At 42.1% G+C, this 12,178-nt stretch overlaps 1 protein-coding gene and 1 long non-coding RNA gene across 26 annotated transcripts in view, besides 4 other annotated features; one reads left to right on the plus strand and one right to left on the minus strand.

The window, feature by feature from the left end:
- INTS6L-AS1 (INTS6L antisense RNA 1) lies at window positions 190–781 on the minus strand. The gene is made up of 2 exons (NR_046740.1): window positions 674–781; window positions 190–479 (listed from the first exon to the last, which is right to left on the minus strand). It is a non-coding gene; the product is annotated as an INTS6L antisense RNA 1 (long non-coding RNA).
- INTS6L (integrator complex subunit 6 like) overlaps window positions 767–12,178 on the plus strand; it is a 61,851-nt gene continuing 50,439 nt past the window's right edge. For 19 of the 25 annotated variants that reach the window (NR_147256.3, XR_007068183.1, XR_001755668.2 and 16 more), the window contains exons 1-2: window positions 767–1,210; window positions 1,348–1,425. Coding sequence is in view for 14 of the 25 variants with exons in the window: in NM_001351601.3 (NP_001338530.1) it covers window positions 1,100–1,210; window positions 1,348–1,425 (189 nt within the window). In the remaining 11 variants the exon portion in view is untranslated. Of the gene's footprint in view, window positions 1,211–1,347; window positions 1,426–1,996; window positions 2,217–12,178 lie in introns of those variants that run through there. The other 6 variants (XM_047441907.1, XM_047441905.1, XM_047441909.1 and 3 more) reach the window with 5 other exon arrangements.
- Window positions 921–1,000: an enhancer, noted in NCBI's record as "active region_29982". NCBI's record gives its function as "activates an Ori minimal core promoter by ATAC-STARR-seq in GM12878 lymphoblastoid cells {active_cell/tissue: GM12878}" and the evidence as "EXISTENCE:reporter gene assay evidence [ECO:0000049][PMID:35858748]".
- Window positions 1,031–1,090: an enhancer, noted in NCBI's record as "active region_29983". NCBI's record gives its function as "activates an Ori minimal core promoter by ATAC-STARR-seq in GM12878 lymphoblastoid cells {active_cell/tissue: GM12878}" and the evidence as "EXISTENCE:reporter gene assay evidence [ECO:0000049][PMID:35858748]".
- Window positions 1,341–1,610: a silencer, noted in NCBI's record as "silent region_21022". NCBI's record gives its function as "represses an Ori minimal core promoter by ATAC-STARR-seq in GM12878 lymphoblastoid cells {active_cell/tissue: GM12878}" and the evidence as "EXISTENCE:reporter gene assay evidence [ECO:0000049][PMID:35858748]".
- Window positions 1,671–1,870: a silencer, noted in NCBI's record as "silent region_21023". NCBI's record gives its function as "represses an Ori minimal core promoter by ATAC-STARR-seq in GM12878 lymphoblastoid cells {active_cell/tissue: GM12878}" and the evidence as "EXISTENCE:reporter gene assay evidence [ECO:0000049][PMID:35858748]".

The following is a 12,178-nucleotide window of genomic DNA, read 5'->3' on the forward strand; positions in this document are numbered from 1 at the left end:
CCTCTTTATTTATTTATAAAAATAAATAAATAAATAAATATGTGAGTTGAATCACAATCTAGGTTTGCAAACCTCCATGTGTAAAGGCTGCGCAGAGGGAACAGTGGTGGAATTATCACAGGCAGGCCAATGTTTCAAAGAGCTTAGTGAAACTGAAGAAGCTTGTGCATACAAAAGGCCAGTTTAGGTAACTGTAACTGTGTTTAAGCTTTAGTTTCCTTTCTAAGTAGATATATGTGGAATGCAAGGCCAGCAACCAACTCACAAATACTGATCAAGACGGGGGAGGGATCTAAAGGAATGTGAGTACGTCCTGCCAGGAAAGAAGTTTGCTGCTTCTGAAATATTTTCGTCTTCGCCACTGGCAGGATTGATCGATTGCAGTTAGCGAAGAATTTTCTGTGCAAACTGTCCAAGCATCTGCTTCTGTACTTCTGTACAACTGTTGCTCAAATTCACTCTTCTTTTCGAATCACCATCTTTGAAGAGAGACAGAAAAATCCATTTAAACCACCCGAACTAATCATTCGAACTGCTTCCAAGTCCTTTAAAGGAGAATCCTAGCGAGGGTCCGTAACACTTCCCCTTACCCTCTGCCTGGGTTCAAACTTCAACTCCCAGGGTTCGCCCAAGTCCCTCCCCTAGTCCTGTCATCTAATGAATATGCAAATACCACATAATTGGCAGCCAATGGCATGGGTTCTGGTCACATGGTGCCGATGGTAGGTGAGCAGACAGAAGTTGTCAGTGAACAGAGACGGCGCTCAGTCTGGGGCGAGCGCTCTAGTGAGCGCGGACGGATGCTTAGGCAGTAGTCCTGGCAGCGGCAGTAGTGGTGGCAGCAGAAGAGAGGAAGGGGGAGGGCCCCGAGGGCTACACACGCTCACACTTTCAAGTTCCCTTGGAGGGAGAGGAGGTGGGGCTGCAGAAAGAGGAGGCCAGGAGCGGTCCCATCCGTCCCGTCCCGTCCCGTCTCCCCCTCTTCCTCTTGCTCCTTGCTCCCCGGCTCTGCGAGAGTTGAGGGTTCAGGTGGCCGTACGCGGCAGTGAGGGCAAGAGGGCCGGGAGAGTGGGGAGCGGAGGCAGGAGTGCGGGGGAAGATGCCCATCCTGCTGTTCCTCATAGACACGTCCGCCTCTATGAACCAGCGCACTGACCTGGGCACCTCTTATTTGGACATTGCCAAAGGCGCTGTGGAGTTATTCTTGAAGGTAAAGGGAGGGGAGGGGAGAGATGGGGAGAGCTCCCGAGGGATTTCAGGGTGTGGATTGAGGTGCTTCTGTAACGTTTGTATCGCCCTCCCCCCTCCTTTCCTACGCGACCCCCTCCGTCATCCCTTGCCCCGCAGCTGCGCGCCCGGGACCCGGCCAGCCGTGGAGACAGGTACATGCTGGTCACCTACGACGAACCCCCGTACTGCATCAAGGTAAAGGGGCTACGGGTGGGGGGACAGGCGGGAAGCGGGAGCAAGTCGGCGGGGGCTGCTTACCCCCCTGCCCCCGCCTAAGGCGGTCCTGCGTCGCCCGGCGGGGCGGGCGGCGAGGGGGTGCGCAGAGGGCGGGCGGAGTGGTGCCGTCGGCGGCTTCGGAGTAGCTGTCGCGCCTGGGGTCGGGGAGAGGGGACCGGGGAGGAGCAGCCCCGGGGAGAAACCGCAGGAGGGCCGAGCTCGTGGCGCGACAACCGCAGCCGCCTCGGAACATGGCGGACATTTTGCTTTTGTATGAGCCTGCGAGAGGGAGACTGAGGGCGCTGCTGAGATGGAAAGGAGGGAGGGGAGGGAGGAGCGGGGAAGGAGGGCCCGAAACCCGGAGGGAGGCTGCGAGGCGGGCCCGCCCCTTCGAGGCGCACCGCGCGAGGGTCGCCGCGCGGGGGGCCGGACGGAGCCTGCGACTCCGCCCCGAGGTCCTGCCGGCCGGGCGCGCGGGCTTTCCCGGAGCCTGGGCTCCTCCTCTGGCCCCTCCTTCCTCCCCCGGTCTTCCTCCCCCTCCTTGGGCTCTTCGCTGCATCTCCTCCTTCTCCCCCTCTTCCTCCTGGTCCCCTCCCCTTCCTGCTGAGAGCGTGGCAGAGCCAGCCGCCGGCCTTCAAAGACTAGACAACCGCCTTTGCACTCGTTGGCCTCTCACCACCCCCGCGCAATCGGAAATCTGTCCGCGACGCCAGTCTCCCCACCCCCAGACCCGGAGAAAGTCTTTGCGTTTCTGCTCCGGAATTGGCCAGGTTCAGCCCCGCTCTCAGTTACCTTAGCTACTGTTACTGTTTCATTGGAAATTCCAGCGAAGCAACGACACGGAGGGGGACGTGCCAAGTGCGAACCCACAGGGGCAGAGCTTTTTAGGGATCCGCTCTACCTATTTACATCATAAATTAGGTTTGTGCTAGCCACGTAGGAATTAATCCAGGGACAAGAAAGAAAGGAAGGGGAGGACTCAAATGTGAGCATTTGTAATAGTCAAGTTCGATGATTTGATTCTGACCTACAGGAGAAAAGTAGGGAGGACGGTCTCTGTGGGGTAATTTATGTTCCTATGGTGAGGAGATAAAGAACTGCTGCTTTGCCTGCAGTGGCCAGATAAAATGGAATTTAAACTGTTAAATCAACCTGCATAAGAGTCCTGCTTGCATATTGAAATTTTAAAAATACTACCACAATCCTTGACGTCTTTTGTTAGGCTTTTTCTTTTTTCCTCAGAATAATCGTAATAGTGCTAGGGAGACGCAGTCTGGATGTGTTGTGATCCGTTTCTGTAGAGTGAGGTGTTTTAATGAATGGAACCTACCAAGCTGAATAGTTGGCCAAAGAGTGTTCCTTCAAGCATAAGGAAACCAAAGAGAAACTAATTTTGTAACTCGTAGCTTCGGTTAACTGTTTAATTAGTAGGTTCCCCTTAAAACTGTTCTTTTTTCGATAATTTGTTTTCAGTTTGTGATTCTATCCATTTAGAAAAGTGGAACAAGTAGACATCTTTCAAAATGCCGTAAGCTTTTTAAAAATGTCAGTTTTCCCAAAAGGATGTGATCATTTTTTTCCACATAGAAAAGGAGATGTTTATACATCCTAGGTCTGAATGTCTACACTCTTCGACTGCTAATACAGATAAGAACCGACCATTTGTAGTGTGGCCATTTGAAGACATGCTCCTTAATTCGAAGTAGTAAAAAAGATAAACCACAAAGCAGTGTGCCTTCTTTTCCTTAAAGGAACAACTTATTGGCCGGGTGCGGTGGCTCAGGCCTGTAATCCTAGCACTTTGGGAGGTCGAGATGGGCGGATTGCCTGAGCTCAGGAGTTTGAGACCAGCCTGGGCAACATGGTGAAACCCCGTCTTTACTAAAATACAAAAAAACAAAACAAAAAAAAAAACGGCCGGATGTGGTGGCGGGCGCCTGTAATCCCAGCTACGCGGGAGGCTGAGGCGTGAGAATTGCTTGAACCCGGGAGTCGGAGGTTGCAGTGAGCCAAGACCATGCCACTGCACTCCAGCCTGGGCAAGAAAGTGAAACTCTGTCGTCAAAAAAAAAAAAAAAAAAAAAAAAAGGAACAACCTATTTATCATTTTTCCATATGCCAAGAAGGATTGTTTAAAGATAGTTTTCCATCTGTAAAACTTATCAAAACAGTATTTACAGAAACTTGGGAAAGGAAATAAACCTCATTCTTAACAACCATCATTACATCTTTTAACCTAGCATTGTGATTACAGTGCACATATTACTTTGTATTCTGCTTTTTCTACCGATTTTTATCCAATGAATTATTCCAGGTCGCCACATAGCCTTCATACTTAAAATTTTTAATGGCTGTGTAATTTATCCATGCTATTTTAAAGGCTCCAGATAGTTCTATAGAACGGACAGGAAAAGTTGGATTTTGTTTTTAGTGGAAATTTCATCAGATAGCTCTTTTTATCCTGCCATCTTATATACTACATTTTTTTCCTAAAGCAAAAAGCACGTTTCCAAGTTGAGTTTGATTTTTTTTCCTTATGTAGGTCAGATATATGGGAAGATACTTTTTGTAATATGTTTAATTATTAATCGTTGGTTATCTTCTTCTTAGCCTATCTTTCCAAAGTTTTTCATTTTACTCTTAGGTGATAACTACATGTTCTAGAAAAAGGTTAATGATCTTAATGATGTTCTTGTCATTTTGCTTTCTATACCTGAATTAATAATATGCCATATTTTGGTAGCATTTTCTTTTTCCGAGTCTCTCTTCAATCACTCTCCTGCCAGCCTGCCTCCAACCCTCCTCAGCATGTGGTAACTATTTGTTCTTTTGCTTTTAGGATCTAACCAGCTTGGAAGGTCTGAAATTTTAGAACATCTGGTGATTTTTTTTTCTTAAAATTTAGTCTAGTCTTTCACTTGCTAATAGCTGGGAGCCATAAATGTCTGTTTTCTGTCACACTGATTATCAAATAGGTCTTTCTTTGATTGTCAGCGGGCACCTTAGTTCCTACTTAAAAACTTCACTCTCATTAGGAGTCTGAGGTCTTTTCAGCAAAGTGATGTTGGCTAGGATTTTATTGGTAGCTTATACTTTTGCAGAATATGAGTGTTTTTTTTTTTTATTTCTCTAAGGTTTGAGCGCCATTGTTTCTCTTTTTTCACAGTAACTGCTTATTTCTTAGGTCTTGGTTGTATCCAAGTCTAAACACTGTAAAATGAACTTTATTTTCTACTTGAAGGTTTGTTTCTATTGGTGTTATAACAGACATGAGTTGTGCATTTGGTTGGAAGATTTTTTTCTTAATAGGCATGCAACTCTTCCCAGTATATCCACTTACAAGATCCGACAATAAATCTTGTGAAAAGTTACTGTGACTGAAAATTTTCACTAATGTATACTGTTGAATATGTGACTATAGTATTTCACCAAAGACTTCGGAACGTTTTACTGCATACTCCTCACTATATAGCTGTGTGCTCTTTTAAAATTAGTCATACCTTTTACTTGCAGTCCCGGTTTGCATGGATAGAATTAAGTTTGACTTAAGTACCACATAAAAAGCGTACGAAATGTAAGCATCATGTGCTACATCTGTTATGTTGCTTTCTAGACAAGTTTTATGCATAGTGTTACAAGTGTTGACCCCACCTTTATACCGTGGTATCTTCAGTGTACACAGCTAGTATGAAACCCTGTTTAACATTTAAAAACGTCTAATGTATCCTTATAAAACTAGTATGTGGTTTTTAAAAGTGTTAATGTTTTGGGATTTTTTGGTATAATTGTTGTTTTTAGTCTTGGCTGAGGTTCTGCTGTCTTGTATGTTTTGTTTTGCTATGAATCATAATTTCCTTTTATTTAGTGAATAGAAGAGGCAGGCTTGTCACTACTATTACTTTGAAAGAAAGTAAGCCATTAGAGTAGGGTATATATTAACAAAGGTATTCAAAATAGTTTTATGTTGGAAGCTACTTAAAATTATTTCTTTTTTGTTGAAGGAAATTATCTTTTTAAACATAAAATGGAGTTACTTTTCTAGAAATAGTTGAAACACATGTATAAAATACTGGCCAGAAGATTTTTATAAATAGGAAATGATAATGTTTCAAAGAAATATCCTAAGTCTGTAATTTGAAGACATACATTTGAAAAAGTAAAATTTTCCCTGAGTGTTGCCTTTTCCCATCCTGTAGCTAGCTTTGCTTACTGGTGTCTGCATGCCTTTGACAACATGTATCAGAAAATAGCAAAATTTTGGCTTACAGATTTAGGAAGTAATTTAAGCTTTTAAAATGATATGTGTTACAGGCATTTTTTAGAATTTTAACTAAGACATAACTTTTTCATATGCCCATGAATATATTTTATAGATCTTATTTGCAAAAGGAGTGACTTTTATGGGAGCCTTTCATTGTGGTTAAGAAGCTATGGAAGAGCTTATCAGTGAAATAGTAGCAACATGGCCTGTGAGAGCAATCTTAGACAATGAAAGATGCTTTTAAAACTCAAAAAGCCACACAGGCAGTGCATTGACTTTTACAACGAATTGCCTCTCCCATGATCTTGCTTTCTTATCCACCTTCCTTTACTGGCCATTTGTGGCATGCAGCAATAATTATTTTGAAATAAGAAAAGGAGAGAGTCAACAGTAGAAGACTAGACCTCTGGGCAATACAATCTTCAGACTAAGGACCAGCTGTAAGATGACTAGGGAAGATGCCTGACAAAACTGTGGAGGTCTGTCTGTTCTGTATCCCCAACCTCTCTCGTATCCATTCATTCTTATTTGCTCCTCGTTTCAACCTTCATCATTTCTCACTTGCAAGCAGCCACTCAGTTGTTCTCCCTACTTCCAGTCTTGCTCTCCACTGATTCCTTCCCGTCATTGCCCTCAGATTGGTCATTCTTTAAATAAAATAAAGTCATTCCCCTATGAAAAAAAAATCCTTCAGTGGCACTCCATTACATTTCCCAATAAAAGTAAATTTCTTGGCCTGGCCTCCATGGCCGTTCATGATCTGGCCCTATCTTACCATGTCTCTGCGCCCTCTCTTCTCTTCTCATGGACCTCAGGCTTCACCCACAATGAAAAATTAGGTCCTCCTCTCCAAACACACTATGCCAGTTGCTTCTGTGCCATTGTAAATGTTATTCCCTCTGCCTGGGACACATTGGTTGGCCAGACATACCTCAGTTCTTTATTCTATGTTTTCAAAAGTCATTTTGTCCGTCGGCTTTTTCCCTACTCCAAGCAGTATAACAACTTCCTCTGTGATCCTTTAACATGTTGTCCACACCTTAACTATATAGCATTTAGCATGTTATATGGGGACTATTAGTGTTCATGTTGACTTCCCTAATGTGAGCTCTTGAAGGGCAAATATTTGAACTTCTAGGTATTTGTATCCCTAGTACCTAAGGGGGTGTTTAGATTTTAATATGTACTCAACAAATGGAAAAAAGGTTTCAAGCAATATGTTAAGTGTCAAAGCTACTCATTTCCCTCATGTCAAAGCTTACCTCATTCCCGGTACTCTTCCCCATAGAGTAATCACTATTAACAATTTGATATATTTAATGTTTATTACAGCTAGCATTTTCATATAGGTTCAAGTTTATAATATGGTAGAATCTTATTGTATTTTTTACAAGATAAGTGTATATATTTCTCTTTTTTCTTTTTTATAGAAGTATAATTCATATATAGAAAATACATGAATCCTAATGACTTGATGCATTTTTATATTTATACATTCATGTAACCACCATCCCAGGCCAAGATATATAACGTTTCCATCAACCAGGAAAATGCCTCTTGCATCTTTCTGCAATCCATCTCTCCCCTGCATGTAATTACCGTTCTGACTTTTATCACCATTGTAGTGACATGATCAAAATGGTGTTTCCAAAAGACAAGTGTAACAGTGGGTTGACACTACGGCAGTCTCGGCATTCATTTACCATATACTTCTTGAACATCTCCTCTGCACCAGGCTCTGTTATAGGGGCCTAAGGTGAAACCAGAAAGATCTGGCCTAAGAAGGGACCAGAATAGTAAAAGACATGGTCCTAGTCATTAAAGGTCTTGAGGATAGTCACTGGAAAAAGCTGACTAGAGAAGGTGGCTTAGGATATGGGAAATGTAAAGAGCAGTGGACTCTTAACCAGAGAATTGGAGGTGAGGGAGGAGGATGCACAGGACTCTGAGAATCTGGTGTGTCTCAAGACTATAACTAGTTAAGACTGGACCACAGAAAGGCTTTGAAACTTGTAAGCTAGATTTTGTACATTTCTTCTGGGATGCAGAGCTCTTAGGTAGAATTGAAGAGAAATAGGACAAAGCTTGTTGTCTATATGCTTGTTTGGTTATAATTACCTTTTAAGTGAGCTAAAGGGAGGGGAGAATAAAAGGCTAGGGAGACCCATAAGTTGTAGTTGAAATTGCCTAGTTTTGTTGCTTGCTGCTTGAGAGCTTTTGGCCTTATGGTTGGGATTGGGGTGGGGGTAGGGAGATGGTGAAGGGCAGGGCACAGGTAAGGAAAGGGCAGATATTTTTTCTTTTCAGTTTGCCTTTGCTTTGGGAAGATAATTATAATTTAGAACACAGGGTTCTCAGTTTCACAGAGTGAAAAAATATGATAGTGGTTCCACATCTCAGGAAGAAATGTGTTTTCTAGAGAAGGGTAGGATTGAAGGACCCTCCTTATGGGAGTGAGAAGGGCAGTGAAGAAAGGAAACTACATGTTTCATTTAAGTTCTTAAATGAAAAAGTCTTTGTAAACATGGCCTCCTCCCGGTTGCCTTTTACCGAAAGAGTGTAAATGAGAGACCCAGGCAGTCCCTTTGTAACTGTGTATTGGGAGCTTGGAACACATTATCTCCTGGATACAATGTTGGAAGTGGTGATTATGTTCCCAGACCTTCCTCCCAGGAACCTTTTTAACCCTTCATGTCACTTAGCCATAGACCTATTGTGTTTATAATTGTTTCTAATGGGAAATGGGTTTAAGTTTCCAGCTTGATTTGTTAAAAACATATTCTTTCTCTCTTCTTCCTCACAACTGGGTGTGGACTTTGGTTCCATGAGGGGTGGGGACACTGTAAAGGCTCCGGCAGAGAGGGTGAGGGGCTGAGGTGGCAGTGGAGGTAGGCGGGGCTCTTCACATATGCCAGTTACTCCTATTCATAGATTGGCTACATTTACACGGTTCAGCATAGCGTCCACTTAGCCACGTATGGTTATTGAGCACTTGAAAGGTGGCTAGTCTGTCAGTGGGTGCTTCAACAGACAGTGTAAAATATAATATTTTGGATATATTAAGTAAATTATTAATCTAACTTGTTTCTTTTTACTTTTTCAATGTGGTGAGTTGAAAATTTGAAATTCCATATGTGAAATTTGCACTATATTTCTATTAGCAGTGTTTGTCTATATTCTTTCTTAAGATATTTTATGATGTTCATATCCTAGGAATTGTTTCTGAAGGAGGATCCTTTCTCTGGAAGTTCCGTTTAAAATGAACACCCCCCCCCCCGACCCACCGCAATAAAAGACTCATTTGTGCATGAAAGGTTATCATACAGTTCAGAGTTGATGGCTTGATAACCCTTGCCTGTGGGGCAAAATATGAAAGCATCCCATTCTTATTTGTATTGAAAGCCAGTTTGGTTGCTTAGTCTTTTGGATGCAGTTGGTGATCCAACTGGTTGGGTTAGAAGTCTTTTCCTGGGCTAAGTATAATGGAATATGTATGTGAATGAATGTAACTGCAGTAATTCAGAATTCTGTTTATAATATGTGCTCACCAGTAGTGCTAAATGTTTCATACTTTCAGTGTTATTAGAAATATGTAACATGTCCGTTGTTTGATTTACATAGCTACTTTGCCCAAGAATTCTCAGGAGCAGCATTCTTTAGGAAGTGTAGGATAAAGGAGAAATACTCTAGTTTGTCATAGTGTAAAACTTAACAAAGGGGAATTTGTATCACTGCTGTTTTTGAGAGCTTTCTTGATGTTCCCCAGCGGAGCCCTTGTCTTATATCATGGCAAGTCATCAGTGGCGTTAAAAGGAGGGAGAGGCCACATGACTGGAGGGCTCCTAGGATTCTTACTTCTGACAGTCGTTAACTTTCTCAAAACTTAATCCTCCTAGTGGAGGTTACAGGAGTGATTAATTGTTATTTTTTGGTAACTATAATGGCTCCCATTTAAGGAATAAGCACCAATGTCTAATTCTGAGGCTGGGTGGATTTATAGATATGCTGATGAATAGCATCTATAAGAGGTAGGACCACTTTATAGCCCTAATTTTGGATCCTCCTAAATCCCATCTTATAGTCGAAGGTGTTATCTAGCTTGTATAACTATCCCTGTATTTCAGATATGATTTGACTTATATTTGCTTCCTTGTAATAATGAACAATCACGAAATAGCCTTCAAATAATAGCAGCTGACATTTATTGAGTAATGCTTAGGTACAGGGCAATGTGCTAATGAATGTAAAATGTTTATTTAGTTTCTCTTCCTAGTCAGTCTGTGTACTGGATTACTAGGTACTATTATTATACTCTTTTTATAGATAAGGGAACCAGGGCCCAGAGAGGTTAAGTAACACAGCCAGTAGTAACCTAGGTCTGTCTCTATTCTAGTCTATTCAGTGATTAACCACTTCACTTCTCCTATCAATTGTGACAGAAAATTCCTTTTGATAACTTCTCACTGGTATTTTCTCATTATGATGCATGTCCTAGAGCCATCATTTTTTAAACATAATTATCATGCTGTTATTTATAGCTGCTTTTAATGTAATAGTGCTTGGCATTGTAGCAAGCACTCAATGAATGAAAATTATTACTGCTAGTGTTATTATTTCTAATATTTCTCTGACTGTTGCTGGGTGAGTATTGTGGTGCATATGTTTGTAAAACACTTTTGCCTTTGATGTCCCACAGTTATGCCCCTACTGGTGACAGATATAGAGTTGTTGAGACTCTCAGTTGATGGAGTATGAAATAGTTGAGGACTGGAGGATGTGAACTGGTGGCCTAGGCTGAGGAGGCCCTATAGGAATAGTGGTAGGTTTGTAAAAGCAGCAGGGTAGTCCTTGGCTATTTATTAATAATAGCCACTAAAAACTGATATGCCGTCTTCACTTTACCAATCTCCTGATAAATGCTTTTCTTATGAGGAAAAGAAAGATATTCAGTGTACTCCACAGTAGCCATTTGTTTTTTCTAATCCACAGCCTCTGGAGGAGGTAGACATGGTTTTTAAAAACGTCTGGAATACCATCATGCCTTTGCAGAGTTTTGTGTATCAGCCTGAGCCTTATCTGCTGGTGTGGTCTTCATTTCAACTACTTCTCCCATTTTCCTCAAGCCACACACCTGTCATAGCCAGATCATTGGTTTTTTCCCCTCCTGTGTAGTTAGATGGCCTGGGGTAGAAGAGTGGATTTTATAGAAGAAGTAGAGATGTCAGTCAGTGGGGTCTTAACCAGAGAAACATTGCATGAAGACTTTTGGGTGATGTGCCAGATGTTTATAGAAAAAGTAGAATTCTATATCTTAAACCATTTTCCCCTGGTTATACTACTCATTAATGCCAGTCGCTCTTTTATTATCTATATCCTGCCCTGTAGCTCAAATAGTTCAGTGAACTTAGTACCAGGAGCCAAACACAGGATTTGAATGCAATTGAACAAAAGTCTTGAAACATTTTTGTTTGTGCAACTGAAAAATAGTACTGTTAAGAAAACTAAATATGATTTATTAAGGTCTTAAGATTTACTGTCGAGCTACTTGGGCAAAGTTACTAATATTCATCCTCTTTGTCCTTGACTACATTTGAAACTAACTACTTCTTCCTTCCAGAAACTTATCACTTCCTATATTCTGTTTCTCCACTCCTCTCTCTGATAATTCTTTCTCTATCTTCCAAAGTCTTTCCCTTGGGGAGTGTATCCTGCTTCATTCGTGGTTCCAAATATTCCGACACACACTGATGCTTCACCATCTTCAGCTTCTCACTCAGGCATCTCAGCTGAGTGCAGGACATCTCCACACATCTCCACTGACTGTCTGTCCTGCTGTCAGCTCACAGTCAGACCTCTTCTGTCATTATTCAGCTTTGTTTTTTCTTTTTGCCTTCCATCTTCTCTGGCTTATCTGCCATCCCTTTGAAATTTCTCTTACATGTGTTCCTTTGACTCAATTTCTGTTGCCATCACTTTAATCTAGGTCCTCATGTTTTTATGCTTTGACCACTGTACCAGCCTTCTAACTGGACTCCCAAGTGCCTCCAAAATTCCTGTCTCCACTTACATCAATTGCTAACTTTCGAAAAAAGTTGGTTTTATCATATCACCCTCCCCACCAGCCTGCCATTCTGAGCTCTCTAGTATCTGTTCCACGTGTCGGTAAAAACTTATTTCCCATCATTTCCCACAGAAGCCCTGCACTGTCTCTTCTACCCTCTGAGTGTATCTCCCCATTCCTGATGCCAGCCCTTAGAACATCAGTTAACCAAAGGAAGAAGAGATACAGAGCCAGGAGAGCTGAAGGCCTGGGGGAGGAGAGGAAGTAAACTGAAATCATTCCATTAAGGGTGTGACTTGAGGGTGAGGACATGACAGAACATGCTTTAAAATACTATTATAATGATGAGAAGTTGCAGAAGGAAGGAGGGTGGGAGCTGGAGTATGACCTTTCGTGTTTGATTAGTCTGA

Source organism: Homo sapiens, chromosome X (genome assembly GCF_000001405.40).
Source record: "Homo sapiens chromosome X, GRCh38.p14 Primary Assembly".
NCBI classification, from domain to species: domain Eukaryota; kingdom Metazoa; phylum Chordata; class Mammalia; order Primates; family Hominidae; genus Homo; species Homo sapiens.